The sequence below is a fragment of the Homo sapiens genome, chromosome 14 (assembly GCF_000001405.40).
Source record: "Homo sapiens chromosome 14, GRCh38.p14 Primary Assembly".
Classification (NCBI taxonomy): domain Eukaryota; kingdom Metazoa; phylum Chordata; class Mammalia; order Primates; family Hominidae; genus Homo; species Homo sapiens.
In genome coordinates, this window is record NC_000014.9 from 27673229 (window position 1) to 27697683 (window position 24455).

Here is a 24455-nt window from a genome sequence, read left to right on the forward strand (position 1 = left end):
CCGAAGCAGGGCGAGGTATTGCCTCACTCCGGAAGCACAAGGGGTCAGGGAGTTCCCTTTCCGAGTCAAAGAAAGGGGTGATGGACAGCACCTGGAAAATCGGGTCACTCCCACCGGAATACTGCGCTTTTCTGACGGGCTTAAAAGACGGCGGACCACGAGATTATATCCCGCACCTGGCTCGGAGGGTCCTACGCCCACGGAGTCTCGCTGATTGCTAGCACAGCAGTCTGAGATCAAACTGCAAGGCAGCAGCGAGGCTGGGGGAGGGGCGCCCGCCATTGCCCAGGCTTGATTAGGTAAACAAAGCAGCTGGGAAGTTCCAACAGGGTGGAGCCCACCACAGCTCAAGGAGGCCTGCCTGCCTCTGCAGGCTCCACCTCTGGGGGCAGGGCACAGACAAACAAAAAGACAGCAGTAACCTCTGCAGACTTAAATGTCCCTGTCTGACAGCTTTGAAGAGAGCACTGGTTTTCCCAGCACGCAGCTGGAGATCTGAGAACGGGCAGACTGCCTCCTCAAGTGGGTCCCTGACCCCTGACCCCCGAGCAGCCTAACTGGGAGGCACCCCCAGCAGGGGCACACTGATACACCTCACACTGCAGGGTATTCCAACAGACCTGCAGCTGAGGGTCCTGTCTGTTAGAAGGAAAACTAACAAACAGAAAGGACATCCACACCAAAAACCCATCTGTACATCACCATCATCAAAGATCAAAAGTAGATAAAACCACAAAGATGGGGAAAAAACAGAACAGAAAAACTGGAAACTCTAAAAATCAGAGCGCCTCTCCTCCTCCAAAGGAATGCAGTTTGCAGTTCCTCACCAGCAACGGAACAAAGCTGGATGGAGAATGACTTTGACGAGCTGAGAGAAGAAGGCTTCAGATGATCAAATTACTCTGAGCTACGGGAGGACATTCAAACCAAAGGCAAAGAAGTTGAAAACTTTGAAAAAAATTTAGAAGAATGTATAACTAGAATAACCAACACAGAGAAGTGCTTAAAGGAGCTGATGGAGCTGAAAACCAAGGCTCGAGAACTACGTGAAGAATGCAGAAGCCTCAGGAGCCGATGCGATCAACTGGAAGAAAGGGTATCAGCAATGGAAGATGAAATGAATGAAATGAAGCGAGAAGGGAAGTTTAGAGAAAAAAGAACAGAAATGAGCAAAGCCTCCAAGAACTATGGGACTATGTGAAAAGACCAAATCTACGTCTGATTGGTGTACCTGAAAGTGATGGGGAGAATGGAACCAAGTTGGAAAACACACTGCAGGATATTATCCAGAGAACTTCCCCAATCTAGCAAGGCAAGCCAACGTTCAGATGCAGGAAATACAGAGAACGCCACAAAGATACTCCTCGAGAAGAGCAACTCCAAGACACATAATTGTCAGATTCACCAAAGTAGAAATGAAGGAAAAAATGTTAAGGGCAGCCAGAGAGAAAGGTCTGCTTACCCTCAAAGGGAAGCCCATCAGACTAACAGCGGATCTCTTGGCAGAAACCCTACAAGCCAGAAGAGAGTGGGGGCCAATATTCAACATTCTTAAAGGAAAGAATTTTCAACCCAGAATTTCATATCCAGCCAAACTAAGCTTCATAAGCGAAGGAGAAATAAAATACTTTACAGACAAGCAAATGCTGAGAGATTTTGTCACCACCAGGCCTGCCCTAAAAGAGCTCCTGAAGGAAGCACTAAATATGGAAAGGAACAACCGGTACCAGCCGCTGCAAAATCATGCCAACATGTAAAGACCATCGAGACTAGGAAGAAACTGCATCAACTAACGAGCAAAATAACCAGCTAACATCATAATGACAGGATCAAATTCACACATAACAATATTAACTTTAAGTGTAAATGGACTAAATGCTCCAATTAAAAGACACAGACTGGCAAATTGGATAAAGAGTCAAGACCCATCAGTGTGCTGTATTCAGGAAGCCCATCTCACGTGCAGAAACAGACATAGGCTCAAAATAAAAGGATGGAGGAAGATCTACCAAGCAAATGGAAAACAAAAAAAGGCAGGGGTTGCAATCCTAGTCTCTGATAAAACAGACTGTAAACCAACAAAGATCAAAAGAGACAAAGAAGGCCATTACATAATGGTAAAGGGATCAATTCAACAAGAAGAGCTAACTATTCTAAGTATATATGCACCCAATACAGGAGCACCAAGATTCATAAAGCAAGTCCTGAGTGACCTACAAAGAGACTTAGACTCCCACACATTAATAATGGGAGACTTTAACACCCCACTGTCAACATTAGACAGATCAATGAGACAGAAAGTCAACAAGGATTCCCAGGAATTGAACTCAGCTCTGCACCAAGCAGACCTAATAGACATCTACAGAACTCTCTACCCCAAATCAACAGAATATACATTTTTTCAGCACCACACCACACCTATTCGAAAATTGACCACATACTTGGAAGTAAAGCTCTCCTCAGCAAATGTAAAAGAACAGAAATTATAACAAACTATCTCTCATACAACAGTGCAATCAAACTAGAACTCAGGATTAAGAATCTCACTCAAAACCTCTCAAATACATGGAAACTGAACAACCTGCTCCTGAATGACTACTGGGTACATAACGAAATGAAGGCAGAAATAAAGATGTTCTTTGAAACCAACGAGAACAAAGACACAACATACCAGAATCCTTGGGATGCATTCAAAGCAGTGTGTAGAGGGAAATTTATAGCACTAAATGCCCACAAGAGAAAGCAGGAAAGATCCAAAATTGACACCCTAACATCACAATTAAAAGAACTAGAAAAGCAAGAGCAAACACATTCAAAAGCTAGCAGAAGGCAAGACATAACTAAAATCAGAGCAGAACTGAAGGAAATAGAGACACAAAAAACCCTTCAAAAAATTAATGAATCCAGGAGCTGGTTTTTTGAAAGGATCAACAAAATTGATAGACCGCTAGCAAGACTAATAAAGAAAAAAAGAGAGAAGAATCAAATAGACACAATAAAAAATGATAAAGGGGATATCACCACCGATCCCACAGAAATACAAACTACCATCAGAGAATACTACAAACACCTCTACGCAAATAAACTAGAAAATCTAGAAGAAATGGATACATTCCTCGACACATACACCCTCCCAAGACTAAACCAGGAAGAAGTTGAATCTCTGAATAGACCAATAACAGGATCTGAAATTGTGGCAATAATCAATAGCTTCCCAACCAAAAAGAGTCCAGGACCAGATGGATTCACAGCCAAATTCTGCCAGAAGTACAAGGAGGAACTGGTACCATTCCTTCTGAAACTATTCCAATCAACAGAAAAAGAGGGAATCCTCCCTAACTCATTTTATGAGGCCAGCATCATTCTGATACCAAAGCCAGGCAGAGACACAACAAAAAAAGACGATTTTAGACCAATATCCTTGATGAACATTGATGCAAAAATCCTCAATAAAATACTGGCAAAACGAATCCAGCAGCACATCAAAAAGCTTATCCACCATGATCAAGTGGGCTTCATCCCTGGGATGCAAGGCTGGTTCAATATACGCAAATCAATAAATGTAATCCAGCATATAAACAGAGCCAAAAACAAAAACCACATGATTATCTCAATAGATGCAGAAAAAGCCTTTGACAAAATTCAACAACCCTTCATGCTAAAAACTCTCAATAAATTAGGTATTGATGGGACGTATTTCAAAATAATAAGAGCTATCTTTGACAAACCCACAGCCAATATCATACTGAATGGGCAAAAACTGGAAGCATTCCCTTTGAAAACTGGCACAAGACAGGGATGCCCTCTCTCACCACTCCTATTCAACATAGTGTTGGAAGTTGTGGCCAGGGCAATTAGGCAGGAGAAGGAAATAAATGGTATTCAATTAGGAAAAGAGGAAGTCAAATTGTCCCTGTTTTGCAGATGACATGATTGTATATCTAGAAAACCCCATTGTCTCAGCCCAAAATCTCCTTAAGCTGATAAGCAACTTCAGCAAAGTCTCAGGATACAAAATCAATGTACAAAAATCACAAGCATTCTTATACACCAACAACAGACAAACAGAGAGCCAAATCATGAGTGAACTCCCATTCACAATTGCTTCAAAGAGAATAAAATACCTAGGAATCCAACTTACAAGGGATGTGAAGGACCTCTTCAAGGAGAACTACAAACCACTGCTCAATGAAATAAAAGAGGATACAAACAAACGGAAGAACATTCCATGCTCATGGGTAGGAAGAATCAATATCGTGAAAATAGCCATACTGCCCAAGGTAATTTACAGATTCAATGCCATCCCCATCAAGCTACCAATGCCTTTCTTCACAGAATTGGAAAAAACTACTTTAAAGTTCACATGGAACCAAAAAAAAGCCCGCATCACCAAGTCAATCCTAAGCCAAAAGAACAAAGCTGGAGGCATCACACTACCTGACTTCAAACTATACCACAAGGCTACAGTAACCAAAACAGCATGGTACTGGTACCAAAACAGAGATATAGATCAATGGAACAGAACAGAGCCCTCAGAAATAACGCCGCATATCTACGACTATCTGATCTTTGACAAACCTGAGAAAAACAAGCAATGGGGAAAGGATTCCCTATTTAATAAATGGTGCTGGGAAAACTGGCTAGCCATATGTAGAAAGCTGAAACTGGATCCCTTCCTTACACCTTATACAAAATTAATTCAAGATGGATTAAAGACTTAAATGTTAGACCTAAAACCATAAAAACCCTAGAAGAAAACCTAGGCATTACCATTCAGGACATAGGCATGGGCAAGGACTTCATGTCTAAAACACCAAAAAGCAATGGCAACAAAAGCCAAAATTGACAAATGGGATCTAATTAAACTAAAGAGCTTCTGCACAGCAAAAGAAACTACCATCAGAGTGAACAGGCAACCTACAAAATGGGAGAAAATTTTCACAACCTACTCATCTGACAAAGGGCTAATATCCAGAATCTACAATGAACTCAAACAAATTTACAAGAAAAAAACAAACAACCCCATCAAAAAGTGGGTGAAGGACATGAACAGACACTTCTCAAAAGAAGACATTTATGCAGCCAAAAAACACATGAAAAAATGCTCATCATCACTGGCCATCAGAGAAATGCAAATCAAAACCACAATGAGATATCATCTCACACCAGTTAGAATGGCAATCATTAAAAAGTCAGGAAACAACAGGTGCTGGAGAGGATGTGGAGAAATAGGAACACTTTTACACTGTTGGTGGGACTGTAAACTAGTTCAACCATTGTGGAAGTCAGTGTGGCGATTCCTCAGGGATCTAGAACTGGAAATACCATTTGACCCAGCCATCCCATTACTGGGTATATACCCAAAGGACTATAAATCATGCTGCTATAAAGACACATGCACACGTATGTTTATTGCGGCATTATTCACAATAGCAAAGACTTGGAACCAACCCAAATGTCCAACAATGATAGACTGGATTAAGAAAATGTGGCACATATACACCATGGAATACTATGCAGCCATAAAAAATGATGAGTTCATGTCCTTTGTAGGGACATGGATGAAATTGGAAATCATCATTCTCAGTAAACTATCGCAAGAACAAAAAACCAAACATCGCATATTCTCACTCATAGGTGGGAATTGAACAATGCGATCACATGGACACAGGAAGGGGAATATCACACTCTGGGGACTGTTGTGGGGTGGGGGGAGGGGGGAGGGATGGCATTGGGAGATACACCTAATGCTAGATGACGAGTTAGTGGGTGCAGCGCACCAGCATGTCACATGTGTACATACGTAACTAACCTGCACAATATGGACATGTACCCTAAAACTTAAAAGTATAATAATAATAATAAAATAAATAAATAAATAAATAAAAGAGCCCAGCAAATTAGCGGTGGATATTCCAGCCCATTCCTGCCCCACTTGACTGCCTAGAGCAAAAGTCACCTATTTCCACTAAGCCCTGCCCAAATTGAAGATTTGTAAACACAATAATGATTGCTCTTTTCAACCAGGAAGTTTAAGGGTGGTTTGTTACACAGTTGGAACAACATGTATGAATATTTAACTTGTAAATCATTTAGTGAAAACTTTAATAATAAGTGAACATCTGTTTATGTGTTTTGAGTATAGAAGTACCTAATAATCTGTAATTGTCAAGTAAACCTGTGATAAATATACACTCCAAAGCATAGACATGTATATCTGAAGAAATGTAATTTATTGATATATGTCTAGTATAATTACAGATATGCCTTTTGTGAATATTAAAATATTTCAATTTAAACCTAAATAGTGGTATTACACTATGGGCTACAATAACATGACAATGATATTATAACAGCAGATGTTTATAATTTCATTTATAGTTAAAAATCCGGTTCTGTAAAACATGAAAATGTAGAATGCAAATATTTTAAATAAAGTATATAATGGAATAGTTAACTTGTTAATGTTTGCTTAGAAACTATATAGGAAAGCTAAGGAAAAAATGTTATTTCAAGAGCCTAGTACATGTCTGTTTGTAGAAGTATGAAGCTCTAGGCTCTAGGCTTTTTCTGGATTATCAGAAGACAAAGAAAGATGTAGCTCCGCTGCCCTTTACAACAATCTAATAAGAATTTGGGGCTTCTTAGTGAATAAAAAATATTCATCAAGAAGGGGAGCATGGACTTAAAAATGGTGAGTAGTGGGGAGTCATTAGGAGCAATGGTATCTGACAAAACAATTCCAGTATGTGCAAAAATTTATTATTTTGTTTTCTTTGCTATTTGGCAATTTGATGTTATCATTTGTCAACTCAAGTCTCATTAGATATAGATGCATGAGGGCTCTGCTTGAGGGGTATTTTTGTTTTTGCTTTTTGGTGTGCAGCAGTAGGGTGAGAGAAAGTGATGTCAAAGAAATGAGAAGAAATTCCCTTGAGTCATGTTATGAACTGAATTTTCCCCCTCCTCATTTTATTAATATATTGATGCCCTAACCACCACGGTGTGTGTATTTAGAGTTAGGGCCTTCAAGGAGGTAACTATCCTTAAATGAGGTCAAAAGGGTGAGGCCAATCCAATGGGACTAGTGTCCTTATAAGAAAAGGAAGAGACACCAGGGGTTGAGCTCTCTCTATGCATGTGCACAGAGGGAAGGCCAGGGGAAGGCATGGAACCTTGATCTTGACTTGCAGCCTTTAGAACTGTGAGAAAATAAATGTCAGTTCTTTAAGCTACCTTGTCTGCGGCATTTTGTTATGGCAGCCCTAACTGACCACTACAAGCCAGTAGGGTAGGGGGATGACAACAACCATCTAAAGTAACATATGAATGAGATCAAAAGCAGGAGACGATTCTGAGAACAAGTCCCTAGAAACTGAAACACACTTAAGAAGGACATTCGATTTCCTCAGAATGAAGAATGAAGGGTTTGATTCAGTTTTATTTAACGGACAAAATTAACTGATCTGATACCTCGAATATATTTTAACCTTTTTTAAAATAAACGCTGGATTCTATTAAAAGACCATAAAAAGTAAGATTAACATTAGATTGCCTGACACAACATGTATATTTGGTTTTGTTTCTATTTTCTTTTGTACTGTCCTGAAAATCTACTTATAGTATCTCCCTTTTTTATAATTTTTATAACTTGAAGCGCAGGAATAATGCCCATATCACTTGTTTTATATATTAAGCAACTTCAATTATACCTTTTAATATGGAATCTTTGTTCATTCCATTTGGTTTGAAATTAATGTAATCTGAAGTTCAGGGTAAAGCATGTGTAGAGTTAACTATTTGCAGTTTAACTAATTTTATTGTCTAAGGTATTAAAATTCCGTACCTTCTACCTGCAGCTGCATAACTGGACACTGAAATGTGATCATAGTTTTAAGTAGCAAATACCTAAAGAGGCTTATGGATGACCACAGGTAAATTAAGGTAATAAAGGTATGCAGCAAATGCTTTTTGTTTGACCGAAGTATTTGTGAGCTTGAGGTCTTACTACTCTGCCTAGAAAAAAAAAATGTAAAATTTCAGTAAGTTTAAATGAGAAGTTAAGAAACCCCAAACATAAAACAAACAAGATATTTTCAACAAAATGTGTCAGTCAAATTACTTGACAGTGGAAGGAGAAGAAGACAGAAAATTGATGAAAAGATTTTGCCAAAAGTATAATCAGAAACCTATAAATTATCCCATTTAATGAAATTGAACATGTAATATTTTTATCATTTTATAATATTTGGGAAATAAAAATCCTGTTTTAATCATTACAATCACTCCTTATTCCTTCATAAAGTGTAAGCAAAATTAATATCTGTGACTTTTCTGTTTCTATTTATATATATAATTAAAAAATTATTGTTTAAAATATACTGTATGTTAGACTAATATGCTTGTAATTTTAATTTAATATTTAAAGTAACTACTTTTCATATTATCAAAGCATATACGAATATAGTTTCGATATATACAGTTTCATCAGATGAATATTTATTAAGCATTAATTTAAACATTCTCCTATGTTTTCTAAGGGGAGTTACGCTTATTTTTTTTTTTTGTCTTTTTTTTCTTTTCCTTTTTGTGGAGAACCGGGTCTCACTATATTGCCCAGGCAGGTCTCGAACTCCTGGGCTGAAGGTATCCTCTCGCCTCTGCCTCCCTGAGAGCTAGGATTACAGGCGTGAGCCACTGTGCCCGGCATACATTCTCCTGTGTTTTCTATTTTAAATAATAAAGTAGCCAAAACTATTACTATGACATATTTACCTGCTTTTCCCGTAGACTATGGCATACAGACAAATGACTTTTTACCTGCTGATTTTTTTTTTCTACAGAGAGCTACCTATATAATACTACTTTTTGTCCACCTTAATGCTTTAAGGATAAGTAAATATGTTGCTTAGAGGTTCTTTTTTGTTTGTTTTGGTTTGGTCTTTTACTAATTCTAGCCCAGGACATGGTTGTATAAACATGGTAGTAAGGAGTGACCTCAATTTAAGTTTTGTAAAGGAGATTATTTTGATGAAGGGTGATATGGTTTGGCTGTGTCCCACCCAACTCTCACCTTGAATTCCCACGTGTTGTGAGAGGGACCCAGTAGGAGGTAATTGAGTTATGGGGGCAAGTTTTTCTCATGCTGTTCTTGTGATAGTAAAGAAGTCTCACAAGATCTGATGGCTGTAAAAAGGGGAGTTTCCCTAAACAAGCACTCTCTCTCTTTACCTGCTGCCATCCACGTAAGACGTGACCTGTTCCTCCTTGCCTTTTGCCAGGATTGTGAGGCCTCCCCAGCCACGTGGAACTGTAAGTCCATTAAACCTCTTTATTGTGTAAATTGCCCAGTCTTGGGTATGTATTTTTTGGCAGCATGAAAATGGACTAATAAAAAAGGCTGTGTTTGCAACAAGGAACGTGAATAAAGAAATAATTTTATTCCTGTAACACCAAGGTAATTTCATATTCTAGGAAGGTAATTTTCAGCATTAAAAAAAATCAGCAATTAGTTTTGAAAAAAATAGTATAGTAAGAATATACAGAGTTATCAATTGAATGTGTATGCATCCTTCTCCAAATTTCATGTGTTGAAGCCCTAATCCCCGAGGTGTTTGTATGTTGGGGCCTTTGGGAAATAATCAGTATTAGTTGAGGTCATGAGTTTGGGGCCATCGAGATGAGACTAGCATCCTTCAAGAAAAGACACCAGGTTGGGAGGCCAAGGTGGGCTGATCACCTGAGGTCAGGAGTTTGAGACCAGTCTGGCCCACATGGTGAAACCCCATCCATCTCTACTAAAAATACAAAAATTAGCTGGGTGTGGTATCCCAATGCCTGTAATCCCAGCTATTCGGGAGGCTGAGACAAGAGAATCACTTGAACCCGGGAGGCAGAGATTGCAATGACCTGAAATCGTGCCACTGCACTCCAGTCTTGGCAACAGAGCTAGACTCCATCTAAAAAAAAAAAAAGAAAAGAAAAAAAACACCAGAGAGCTTAGTTTCTTTCTTGCTTTTCTTGTATATGTACCAAGGAAAGGCCATATGGGCACACATCAAGAAGGACGTCTGCAAGCCAGGAAGAGCCCTTACCAAAAGATAACTTATCTGGCACCCTAATCTCAGCCTTTTAGGCTCTAGAACTGTGAGAAAATAAATTTCCATTGTTTAAGCCCACAGTCTATGATATTTTGATATGGCAGCCAAATATAGACAGAGTAATACATACAATGATTGTAAATGTTTATAATTTATTTTAATAGTACTCCTAACCCAGTGTACTTCTTAAGATATAGTGGCTAAAGACAAAATTGTATTGACTTTATTAATATTAAATACAGAGAAAAGGAATTGGTAAGAACGCTAAAACTAACAATAATGCATATTAAATAAATAAGCCTTTTATTTTCCTAGCATTTTATATATACAGTGTTTCACTGAAATTGTAATAAAATCAAATTATGAACAACTTCTATTTTGCACATTTACAATTATGTATTTTTCATGTCATTGGTTCAATAGATATTAAGTAAAAGAAGTATGTGTGTGATATATATGTATCAAAGAAGAGCTACAAAGTATGCAAAAAGAAGAAAGCTAAAGATATAATCAAATGGCATTTTTTAGTAATTATGCTTGATTAATTCAAGTAGAAATAAATCAGGATATATAAAATAGCATATGCAAAATCAAATTTGAAAAGTATCAATAATTGCCTGCAAGACATTTAAATTAATTTCATGAATCCACAAAGGATTGGTAAGCAGCATGCTATTCATAGTCTGTCTTATAATTGTTTAGCATCTCTTTTTAAAAGCAATTTATCTGCTTTGAATAAAATCCTATTCATCAGTAAATGACAAAAGCTCCATAAGGAAATATTTAAAATGATACTGAAATTAATACTTTGAAATCTCTTTCATCTAAATGTTATTTTCTTCTCTAATATAATGGAAAAAAAATCACAAATTAAAGAGTACCTGAAAGAACATTAAATATCTTTGTTAGGAGAGTAGTTCATGATTCATAACATGTAGGTATTTGAGCTTCTCCAAATCAAAATTAGACTTTCAAAGACATTTTCTTCAAAATGAAAAAAACCCACCAAATTGCGTGTCAACTTCATTTAAATGAAAAAAGATTTTTTTTTGAAGCCTCCATTTTATGTCAGCTGACCCTGCTTGAATATCTACATTTCATGCAGTGTAAATAGAACCGCTTTTGTGCTATTTTCCTCAACATTTTCTACATTAGTTCAATCTGGAATCCTAGCAACAGACTACTTTGATATGTGTTATTTTTCTTTTTGAGTAAATAGATTTTAATTGTCAGAGAGTAGAGATCAGAAATCAACGTTACCAAAGATCTGATATCAGCACATTTAGCTACCTGGATGATTATTTTCTTCCTCCAGAATCTTAATAAAAACATATCTATTAAATCACTTAAACATATATTTAAATGATTCAACTTATTTTTTCCATTTTAAAAAGAATGCAGTGAATATATAAATATATTCTGACAAAGAGACAAGCTACACTAGCAAAACTATGTAAATGTCCAACTTCCATCTCCTGAATGATAAAGTCCTTCTATTTATATTTCCAGTCACAGCCACAGACCATGGTTAACATATTTAGTTTGTGTTAACTTGGTCTTTTCTTTATGCATTTAATAAACATAATAATGTATATAACATTCTTCAAATACATTTTGACTTATAGAAGTTTATGTCATTCTTACTTATTCAACTGACTTGCATTTTATTCACTTAACATTATGCCTTTGAGAGTTTCATAGCAAAACCTATAGGACAAGTGTACCTGAATTTAAAATTGAATAACAGCAGCAAAATAATTGGTAACAATACTTAAATATTTACTTTGTGTCAAGTACTGCCAGGCATGTTTGTTTGAATAAAGGTTTTTAATCCCTACAGTCCTATGAGTATGATAACTGTCTGTATTCTCTTTTAAAGGAAGGGAATTCACAAATAAGAAAAGGTTAAGTATCTTTTTCAATGTCACATAGTTAGTGTCAGAGTTGTATTTGCACTGAGGCAATTTGGCTTTAGAGTTTGAGCTCTTAATCAGACACTCTACTGGTTTCCAAAACAGAGCATCTTCCCTAAAAAGGTTTGTACCATAATTACCTATTCTTTTATTGTTAAATTCACAGTATTCTGTTTTAATATATCTAATAATGTATTTTGAAATTCCTTTAAAAGGATATGGTATGTATAAGCATATACTTATGTTTGATAAATTTTTAAAATGATAATTGGATGAAAACTACACATGCAACAGTTTATATAATAAAATCATTATTAGTGTATTTTTCCCCTTGGTATTTCTAATTAGAAATATTTACCAAAGTTGACATGAGTATCTACTGTTTGGAGAGTGAGATGTATTTTATGAAATATTAGGAATTTTCCTAGAAGATTCGAAAAGAAAAAGCTCACCTTCAAAAGTAAGATTAGGCAGTAATACAATAACATTGAATGTCAAAATATTTTGGAGAAGAGATTTTCCTAATTCTTTTAAAACTAAGTTATTATTTTCATAATCAAGGGAGTAAAACCAAGCTTTTAGAGTTACCCTGTAAAGTAAACCATGACACTTTTGTCTTTGGCAATAATGCCTTGAAGGTGGGTGTCTATAGTAAAAGGATGCAACACAGGAGAGATAAGAGCAATATCATCAACTTTCCAGTTCTACAAGTTGTAGAGCCACTAAAGCTGATTAAGTCAGGTTACACAAAGTAAGACTGAAGGAAGTTTTGCAAATGATTAATACAGTACAGATAAATTTAAAAAATTTTGCAGCACATGGTCAGGTAGAGGGAGTTTCTAAGAGTTAGTGTCAGTGTTTCATAACCACTCTTAGTTTTTTAAGGAATGAAACTGAACCAGAAAGAGCTGAAAGTACATCTGGGGTCTTGTCAAAGGTGACCAGGCTAACAAGGTCTAGATTGCTTTACCCTGAGGAGTGTAATCTACCCCATATGGGACCACATAAGACACGGCCAGATCTTTGAGATGTCTGCAGTGCTGCAGGGGTTGGGTGACTGCAGAGTCAGCTAGAGACTCATCCAGTCTCTGACTAAGATATGATCATAAACTACATCCTTTGCAGATTTCTGACTTGAAGGCAACAATGTAAACAGCAACTAGGGAGGGCAAGAGTTATTGCTTCAGAGACCACAAGTAGGCTTGGATATTCAATCTGTTCTTATTTGGGGCTTTTATCTTCAAATATCACTTATTCATTTTTATTTGGTTTGAATGTTTTACTCATAAGCAGACAAAAAGAGGAAACGGAAAGACAGTACTGTTAATCTAAAAGAGCCTGCACATTAAAGGTTTCTTTTAATAATTGGATTGAAGACAGTTTGGCCACATGGATATTTAGTTATTTTTTCTTGCCAGCAAGGTGAAGCCTTAAGGTAAAGGTCAAATTATCGAGAAAAAAAAAATTGCTGTAGTTCTCGCATATCCAAATTGTAGTCAAATTGAATCCAGCCAGGAAGGTTTTTTTCTTTTTCAAGTCTGTCAAGAGATATTTTGTTGTTATTATTTATTTGTCTTATTTTCCTTTTATTTTAAAAAAGGGTGTTGGGTTTTGCAAATGCTTTTGTTTTATAAGAGTTGGAAATAAAATATTTTGCTTTTTGGTTTTTACTGATATTTGATCAGCATTTCCTCAACTGTGCTTCACTAACATTCAGGAATATATAAGCCCAGCGCTTCGTGAAGAAAAGGTTTCTGGGAAAGATGAGCTAGTTAAATGGATGGTGGGTTAGGAAATCCCATTGAAGGATAATTAGTTTTCCTTGAGGGCTCAAACTTGCCATGACTTGCCATGACTTAGGTTCATTCATTTAGGGATTAATTTCAGGAGTAGAGGAGTGTAACTATTCCAGCAATGGGAGTTGCTGATTCCCATCTTCCCAGTCCTATTCCCAAGAAACTTTAAGGCAGTCTTTGTTCAATGGAGATACAGTGGCTAATAAGTAAAATAAAATAAAACCCACAGTAATTTTTTTGGTTTTCTCTGTATATATATATAAATATTAGTGATATCACATTCTAGGTCGCACATACACACACACACACACACTCACTCCAGTTTCATAGTCTGTCTTGTTTTATAGGTATCTTCTCTTAAAATTTTAAGGAACAGACAACCCTTATGGTACTAAACTACTCCAGAATGTTTTTAACCTTAATGAGGTCTGTAAAAACACTGATATCAAAATTGGACAGGAAGTACAACAGGAAAATGAAAAACTATTTGGTCAGTTTCACTTAGGGCTCTGAGTTTAATGACACACTTTCTATCAACATTTTCAACTACATATTTTTAAAAAATTAAAATATTAATAATTAATGTTTATCAGGTCTAATAAGCAGAGGATATACACAACCTAAATCCAATTCATTTTTAAACATAAAAATGTATTGATAAATATTTGATCCAATATGTTTGAAAAATGATAGCCAAATGGTTAATATAATTATCAAAGGAAAAATAAAAATGGCAAAATAATCAAAATATCGAGTAGGAAAAAATATCCACAACCATAGAAGAGATAAAATAAATCACAAAAAAACATTTTCAACAAGTTTGTAAACCTGAAATTTGTTTTAAGTATAAAAATAGAGAAATTACAGAAACTTAAGAATTACATCAAAATACTATTTTTGCCCTTCCATTTCCACTCTATCTAACTATTGCAAATTAAGTCTCCTCTCAGACAAGTTCACTGGTGTATCCTTTCAAAGTTTCAAGGAGCATTTAATGTTTATGCTACTTACCCTCTCCCAGACATAGAGATTCATGTCTTCTTAATACTTCTCAGCAAGCTGCTAGCTGGTAACACTAATATCGCTAATATATAAGAGTGGGTTACATTCTTTATGTAATCCCCTGCTTTTAGTGTGTCAGGAGATGAGAGCAATGGCAGTAGCACATTGAAACCACGGAATATTTTTCCAGTGTCCCTTCTTTTCATAATTGATTTTTGACTCAGAAGCATGTCTGGGGATGAAGGTGTGCTCCTGTCAGATTTCAGACACCACAGTGAAAAATTAACAACATGGGCTAACTAGTTTTACCAGGAGCAGGGACAGGGACGGTGGAGACACAGGACACACTTGTCTTTTATTTCTTCAATTTCTCCTCAATTTTCTTTGGTTTCGATCTCCAACACTGACTCCCAAGTTGATGATTTTGCTTTCTTTTTGTGCTCTTCCCTGCTTCTAGACTTTCTTGGTTAGAAATAATAGCCAACAGAGATTCAATTGACCTTTAAAAGGACCTCTCTTCATGTCTTCCTGAGTCATTTTATGTAGAAGAACTGGGGTCCAAGCAGGACAGTTTCTGTCTTCCTCGTGTCCCATGAAGATTCCAACCCAAGCAGAGTTGTTTGTATGCCCCTTGATGAATGAATTTATAGTGTTTTGTGGTTAAAAAAATAAATGGATAAAAAGAAGGTGGTAAAAAAAATAGTTGGACTAAACATTTGTATTTAAATTATTATCATCTTTGTATTTGCTGTCTTGTTTAAAGGGTCATCTATCCTGTTCGTTAGGGATATTTTTCTCTTGTTAAAATGTACCTCCTGTCGAATACTCGGGAAATTAAAAGGGAAGCGTGATGAGCACACACTGAGAGGCTGGTTTTAGCCTCTCACTTTTAGCAGGACAGGCAGCCTGTAGAGTGCCTGTGCACTGGACGTAGGCATCGTCTCCTGCATGGAACACCTTCACAAGGATGGCCAGGCAGGCTGCTTCACCTTCCAGCACTTGATGTGCCTGCTCTGAGGTTTCCTGAACACACAGCAAAGGCCTCTCATTCGTAACAGACCAGGATTCCTTTGCGTTTCTGCATAACATCAATGAGTAAATGAAGCTATTTTCACTTCACTGCCCTCTTTTGAATGTTTTTATTGTAATTACTGATTCTATTAAGGAAGAACAATAAAGGCAGTGTACCCCCCTACTACAATGCTTGGGAAACAAGTGTTAGGTTGTGCATATGACAAGAGAGGACTCTGAATACACCTACTCTTCATCAGCCCAAGCCTTATTGAGTTGGGATAAAGAACTCATTCTCTGTTCTTTAAGAAATGTTTCCTGTACTAATTTTTGTCCTTTTGGGATTCTAAGTGGGCCAAGAAGCGAAAACATCCATGTGTTAATTAAGGGAAACCGGCAACATGTTTTCCCATGTTTCAACTAACTAAAGAATAAATGATGAAGAAATTCTCCCTGTAGCTCAAAAAAAAAAAAGAAAAAAAAAGAAAAAAAATTTAAAAAAGAGTCAACCTGCCGCCTTCTAGTTCTAGCTCCACTACTTTTTACTGGTAGGAACCAACGTAAGTCACTATATCTTTGTCAGCTTCAGTTTTCTCTGCGATCAAACGAACATAAAAATGCTTCATAAGGTTTTTATGAGGTTTCAACTTGAAATGCATTTAAAGCATGTATCATATATTAAGCATTGAAATGTTAGCTTATATTAATTGATCAAATATTTTCCATATGAAAAAACATACTCATGGTTAAGGAAGGTATGACTTAAATGCTGACTTCCCTTTCCAACTCAGTAACTTGGTTTAACTTACACTTGGTCTAGCAAGAAATTTTAAATTTTATGATGTAAGATGGTGATTTCTGTAAGTCAAGTACATATGAATTTTATCCCTCTATCTTAAGTTTATTTCATTTTGCTGAATTTCAAAAACAAGAGTTATGCCTATGTATACATCTTTGACAGATAAAAATCAAACTAATAGCTTATATGCGTGTTGGTGGTGGTTCTAAATACACTTTTTGGAGACAGTAACATGAATACAAGGATGGTATGAACATCCCTCAGGGTTTTTCTCCAAATTAACTGAAAGACACAGCCGAAATGTTACAGAGGGTTCTTGAATCTCTTGCAGGAAAGAATTCAGGGCATGTCCATAGAGTAAAGAGAAAGCAGCTTTATTAGGAAGGTAAAGGAATAAAAGAATGGCTATTCCATAGACAGGGCACCCACAAGGGATGCTGGTTGCGCATTTTTATGGTTATTTCTTGATGATATGCTAAACAGGGGGTGGATGAGACCATATAAGGTAACTTCCTGACATTGCCATGGCATTTGTAAACTGTCATGGAGCTGGTGGGAGTGTACCAGTGAGGACGACCAGAGGTCACTCTGGTGGCCATCTTCATTTTGGTGGGTTTTAGCCGGCTTCTTTACTGGAAACTGTTTTATCAGCAAGGTCTTTATGACTTGTATCTTGTGCCGACCTCATATCTCATCCTGTGACTTAGAATGCCTAACTGTCTGGGAATGCAGCCCAGTGGGTTTCAGACTCAATTTACCCAGTCCGTACTCAAGACGGATTTGTTTTGGTTCACAAGCCTCTGACATAAATGTTTTAAAAAGTAGTATTAGTTATATCATGTTTCAAAAGTACCCTTCTAATAAAATTATAAACCATATTTTATTTTAGTAGTTTAGTAATATTTGAAACTGAATTTTAACATAAAAAGCAAATAATTATGTATTTCCTCCTTTTGTATACGTATTTGCTCCTCTTGTATATATTGTGTTTGTCTTCAGAATCCAGTTAGAAAGAGCCTCTTCCAAAATCAAGACTTTTAGAAGGAGAGGGGAGAAAAATAGTGATTATATATAATTTTTAAAAATCCTATCATTAGTTAGTTACTTCAGGGGCTCCCTATTACATTTAAAACAAACATCAAAATATATCTCACAACTAAGGATGATAGTCAAAATATTTTTAAGACCTCTATTGGCACAATCACTTACCAATCAGAAAGTGTGACTGACAAATCTGAACAGTCATTGACCTCAAACAATCAGTAAATACCACTCTCTATCAAGTGAACACTGTTTTATCTGTAAGACACAGCACGACCTCACTCCAATGTACTTTATCAAGGTCATCACACTGGCATCCTTAACTCTGTTGCCTATACTAGCTTTCTTTAATTACAGGAATTGCATAACTCTCACAACTATGTCTTAGCTCTGGCTATTTCTTTCAACTGGATCAGTCTCCCACAAAATTCTACGTATCCTATTCTCTCCTTCAAACCTTTGCTAGCCAATGCTACTCATCCTCTCCTGTTTATTATCCCTTTGTCAGAGAAGGATTCTGTAAGACACTGTCACAGTAGTAATTTATTGCATTTTAATTCCATGGAAGTTTGTGACCCTACTTAAAAAGTTTCCTTTCCCCATTAACCTTTAAATTTATAAAAGCAGAAACTGATTTTAGTTCATGAGCATTATAATATCATTAACTGCAGAGAAACTGTCCAATAATAGGGACTTAATAAATATTTGTTGAATACACGACTGTATCACCTCATAGTTTTTAAAATGTGTTCCCACATAGACTCTAATGGGGATGTATATGATTTTATTGAAATCATTTTAAGATGATAAAATGAAATATTAACAGCTATTTTGAAACATGTTGACTGTACTTTAAGGGACAAACCCTGAGTATGCTGAGAGGATACTATAAACTGAGGTGGCAAATATGGCTATTGACATAGAGATGATGACAAAAATTTTTGTAGAGCAACATTATGACTATTATTTTCTTTGATGGAAGTAACAAGACTTTCAAAAAACTATCAAATTAGGTAAAACACAAAAAATAGAAAATGACTTTCTCCAATAAATAATTTATAAGGAATACATTTCATGATCATTATTATTACTGATTTTACTGAAAATGAAATCAGTTTTTGAATAATGACCTTGTCCTTTGTTAAAGATAAATTACTTATTCCCTGTTGGAAGGCTTGCATATGTGTCTTCACATTCTACATTAAGTCTATGGTCTTCAATTTTTCCATCAAAGCATCACTAAAACTTGGTGCACAGTTAAAATGATATGAGAAGTTATCTTTTATCTTAAAATATTCAGAGAATCGGGTCCTCTGCTCCATAATGTAACAGCATCTCTTTTGTTATATTCTGTGATGTAGGCATATATACATATATACATATGTGTATGTATGTGTATATATATATATATATGTGTGTGTGTGTGTGTATTTTTTTTTTTTGAGACGGAGTTTTGCTCTTTCTCCCAGGCTGGAGTGAAGTGGCTCACTACAACCTCTGACCCCCGAATTCAAGATATTCTCCTGCCTCAGCCTCCTGAGTAGCTGGGATTGTAGGCGCCCACTGTTTATATTTTAAGGACTTTCCAGGGAGTAAATTTTATACACTTATCCCCTGGTTTCTTATATCTATACAACAACAACTATATGTCTGAGATAATATTTTCCAGTATATTATAAACTTTGTGTGGAAGAAAAATCTGCTCATTGTTGTCCTTTATACCTTTATTGCAGTAACATATTAAGAAGAAGAAGATGACCAAAATTGCAGTTCTCTATAGATGTCAAGCTCTGGAGTGTTTTGTCTTCTGTAATTTTACCATTTTATTGTTATAATAAGAATATTTTCTGTTCCCTCCTTGTTGAAGTTTTTGGTAAGAGCCATTTAAGGTGAGAATGAGTATTCATTAATCTATATCTATCCAGCTACAGTAACTTTAATCTATTTGTGTATTTGTACGTCACTTCTGTCAACCTATAAATGGCTGAATCATTGATGCAGGCCTTTATGTTGACAAATGATGAAAATGAAACAGAGAGCACAAATACCATTTGTAACAAGAAGAAAGAGCACTGTTGAATATATTTCCCTCCCAAGACCTTTGTTTAAGACAGCAGGCAATCTTTGGGTTTCATATTCTTGACGTCTGCAAAAAATCTACTATATATCATCACAATAAAGAATGATATATTTTTAAAAAGATCTTTGGAAAATTTTCGTTTATAGGTATAGAATTCTTCTAATCTGAAATGCTCTGTCAGTTGCTAACTAGTGTGTTGCTCCTAAATTTTTCTCATATTCCTTATTGTCTCCCATAAAGTGACCCTGCTGGAGGAGACCAGCTGGAGTAGCCATAGGCATCACAGTTTAGTTAGCCTGACTCAGTTGTTATTCATGGCTTTTGTAGGCTATTGCTCTGTAACCTAACGAGACCCTGCAGAGGTCAATATCAAACCCAAGTCCACCTGAAAGCTTCTTTTAACTCTGTGGTTTAAAAAAAATTGATATGGCGAGCTCTTGACTTTTATTCATTTCAATCCACATCAAACTCACACCTGCCAAGATTGGGGAAACTGATTCAGTTTCATTGTCTTACTCTTTTCATTAGGTTCATTGACTGGCCCAAACTAACTGATAAGACAAGGAGTAATGAGGCCCTATTTCAGTGGAAGGGAATTAATAAAGCAAGGTGAGGAAGACAAAATCCTTGGTTTGTATCATATCCATTTTACATAGCAACCCAAGAGTTTGACTAACTCCTATGAAATTGGCATAGTTACTAGACTTCTTCCAATTGATTTTTTTACAATCTGAGGCAGAACTAAAGACTATTCATACACATATGTCACTGAATATCGCAACACAGTTGTATACTCATATATAATTGACAAATAATTCAATAACTTTCTTATTTTCCAGAATAAATCTTACTTAATGCTTGCTAGTAATCTACAGATGGATTGTTTTGAATTAGAATCACCCATCCTACATATATGCAAGTTCAGGTAATAACTAACTTTGGTGACCAGGAATAAAGAATGCTTGTTGTTAAAGGAGACTTAAATATAACTTTGAATGGTCTTGTTTATAATTTTTAAATTAGGTTTAAGTATTGCTTCGATTATTTTCACTATTTTAGAAAAGGCAGAGACTGGGACAATAGATATTTAATAAACACAGATACTATTGACAAGTTTACTAAAACAACTATTAAATCTTTAGGTTTATGGAGGATTCAAAACAATTTTGTCTTAGACATGAACCTCACCAGGGACATGAGGGACAAGTAGGAAGAAACATGTTTATTGGTTATAATTAAATATGTAAGGTGTTTTATCATACAAGAAATCTCCATGTAACCTTTGGTGTTTATGTTTTAATAAGGTGATTAAGTATTTCTAGACATATTCAATAATTTTCATGTTAATAATTAAAATCTCTCTATCAAATAGGAAAATAATGTTGGCTTATTCCATAGAAAGTATTAGAAATGAGAGTTAAACATAAAATAATTTATAAAATATGTTCTCACAAAATAAGTAAAATGTTTGGAATATCTAATCAGCTTCATGTATAAACATTACTTTTGAGTCTGGTTGAAAACATCCTCAATTTTAAAAAAGTTTGAAGCTTACTTATGTAAATTAACTTAATACACAGATATATGGACAGAATTTAGGGATAAAGTGGCAATGAAAGTGTCTCCAACCTGATGGCATAAAAGAATGGCTTTCAGATTTATGTTTCCATATCATCTGCCAGCCTGGTAGCATAATTCCCAAATCTCTCAGCAGAAAATCTTTCATTTGAAGCAAGCTTCTGTTACGTGATCTTTTTCCCCCTGGCAGATGATATGTTAAAAATGTACTATCTGGGAGATGGACCAGAGGCAGGTGCACAGGTTTTGATGTGGAAGGCTTGGCAGGTGTGACCCAGAATGGAATATATGCTCCTCAGAGGGACCTGTTGAGATCAGATGTTCATGAAAAAGACAATGCTCAAATTATTCCAACATGCATATAATTATCTCTAAATGTGGTATTGTGACCTTGCTGTAATTTTCACACAAGCAAATACATTTAAGCCATGTTAGCAATAGCTGAACTATGATGTTTCTGGATTTCTAAAAACATTTAATCGTATTTCTAGTCTTTTGCTATACTTACAGTATACAATTAGAAAGACAGTTAATTAGCTGCCCAGATTAAAAGGAAAACAATAAAAACAAAAGTTACTTGTAATTTCCTGCCCAATAAAATGCCTCTGTCTAAGCATTGTGCAGCATAGTCTCATTCTTCCTTTCCTCTTCTTCACAGTCAACGTAATTTCCCCTTCCCAAACACATGCTCTCTGTGCAGCACTTCCTTCTTTGACCTTAGATTTAGTTTACCCCTACATTTTCCGTAGTATTTTAACTTTTTAGGTTTCACTGGACCTCTATCAAGTCTATGCTAGCATGTCACATGATAGGTGCTACTTAGTAGACACTTAAAGGAATGAATAAAAGAAGAAAAACATTCACCATGCTGCAAGATAAACTAGCCTCTCTTTTTGTTTTCCTTTATACATTCTTCTGAACATTCCAGGATCTGTTTGGTATTAAACCTAGGTAGAAAACTGTATCATCAAAAACTATTATGACCTTATACATCTTCGCGTTGGCACTTGCAGAAATAATTATAACGATGACCAAATTATTTGGTACGCCATCATTGAAGTTATAGTTAAATAATTCGCCACAAACTTCAGTAACTAATAATAAAAGACTGTAAAGAAGCGGTTGACAAAAGTCATTGTTAGAATGGAAACACTAGCTTTTTCATCATGATTTGTACAGAACTATTTGCATGAGTAATAAAAAATGACATTAATGTATACTTTTTATGTCTTTTTCTTTATATAGTTAAGTTTCGATATGTTTATTAAAAAGGAAATTTTTTAAATACTTAAATGACTTTTTAACAGTTAACATTCAAAGATTAATAACTGGTAACTTTGAAACTATATATTTATAAGAAACATCATTTGTTAGGATGTTTGTTTTAGAGAATTGTGTGCATTTACTTAAAGTCATATAACATCATCGTCAAGAAAAGTTGGATTTACTCACTTACCCTGTGATAATGCACTGGCTAATCATAAAGGGTGCAGTCAGTATATAAACATTATCTATCTTATTCTAAATTCAGAGTGTTCTCAAAGATAGTTATTTTGCATAAAGTTTATGTAAGTCAAAATTTAGCACCTGACTTTTAAAGATTAATTTAAAGACAGCAAAACTCTCATTCTTCCACAGGAATTTCAATTTTCTGACACCAACAAAATATTAGATTCACAAGTCCAAATGGCAAAGAAATGTGTTATTTTGTTGGGCAACTTAAAATTTCAGTAATCAATCTTGAAGCTTGCGTGTTGAAGACTAGCCAAGACTGAGTTATATTAGTCCCTAAACCAGTTCTTCCCTTGGCATTATTATTCTCCCTTTTTAATCAGTTTAAAAATGTTCTGGGATTCTCTGCTACACATCCTTCTGCATCCCTTCCCTTTCTCTTGCCAATATTCCTCTTTTCTGAAGCCCAGAGTAATGACAGAAGGAGGAAGTACATTATCATTCTTTTGCTTTTCCACATTTACTTCTGTTTTATTTTAATGTTTTTTATTTTACTTTGTTCCTCATATTTATATCTCATATCAGTGGGCATGGATAGAGGTGCTTATTCTTACAGGGCTTGAGAAAAATTTGACTTTTTATTGGCTTATTCTGATTCATCAACAAAATTAGAAAACTTGCAACTCTTCTAATTTTAACTTTCCTTAAAGGTCACCAAATGGTAAGTAGGAGGTTCACCAGTGAGGTGAATGGAGACTCCTGACATTACTAATTTATCAGTAGATGCTCTATCATTAAACAAAAGGGAGTAGTCACTGGGTCAAAGAGTATTAAAACAGCAAGGAGAATATGGTAGCCCACAAAATGGCTCCCAATAATTCTCATCTCCTGGTATTTATGTTCTCGTGTAATCTCTCATTGAGTGTGTACTGGACCTAATGATTTGCTTCTAGCAAGTAAAATAGGATAAAAGTGATGGAGTATCCCTCCCAATATCAGATTACAAAGATCTCAGCTTTTCTCTTTCTCCCCCTCCCTTGCTCACATTAATGAAAGCCAGTTATCATATTGTGAACGGCCTGACAGAGAAAGCCAAGTGGCACAAAACGGAGGTGGGCCTCCCACCTACAGCCAGTGAAGAATGAGGCCCTCAGCAACAGATAAAAAAATACAGAGGTAGAAGAGATGAATTATACTGTTTATAGAAAAGAAAATTAGTTATTTTGTTGGTTTGATTGTTTAATTTTGTCTTAATCAGAGTTGGGCAACTAGCTTGTAGTAATGTAAATTTTAGATTTATATTAGTATTCTAGTATATTTAAAAAGTATTTTAATAATTATTTAAATTAATAATTATTTAAATATCTGACCAGTTTCAAATCTAGTGTTGTGGGCTATTAAACAACAATCACAATACTAAGAGGATCCCAGAAAACTTTTTAAGAATATTTCGATAATGTTTCATTGCACATACTCTGCTTTTTGTACTCTATAATATTTATCATACTTGGTGCTGCGTTCTCACATTGGGGAGTGTTAACTGACCTGGGACAGAACAGCTGGCAATATCTCGAAATCTGGAGCTAGATTTGATATAATATGAGAGAAGACAGTGAATTGCAGATAGGATGCATCGATTCTCAGGGAAGTTGCTCAAAAGCTTTACATTTTATGGGTGTTCAT

At 35.6% G+C, this 24455-nt stretch overlaps 1 annotated feature.

Annotated features, from left to right (window-relative positions):
* Positions 67-621: an enhancer, noted in NCBI's record as "NANOG-H3K27ac-H3K4me1 hESC enhancer chr14:28142501-28143055 (GRCh37/hg19 assembly coordinates)". NCBI's record gives its function as "activates a minimal SCP1, AML or CMV promoter by ChIP-STARR-seq in naive H9 embryonic stem cells {active_cell/tissue: H9 hESC(naive)}" and the evidence as "EXISTENCE:reporter gene assay evidence [ECO:0000049][PMID:30033119]".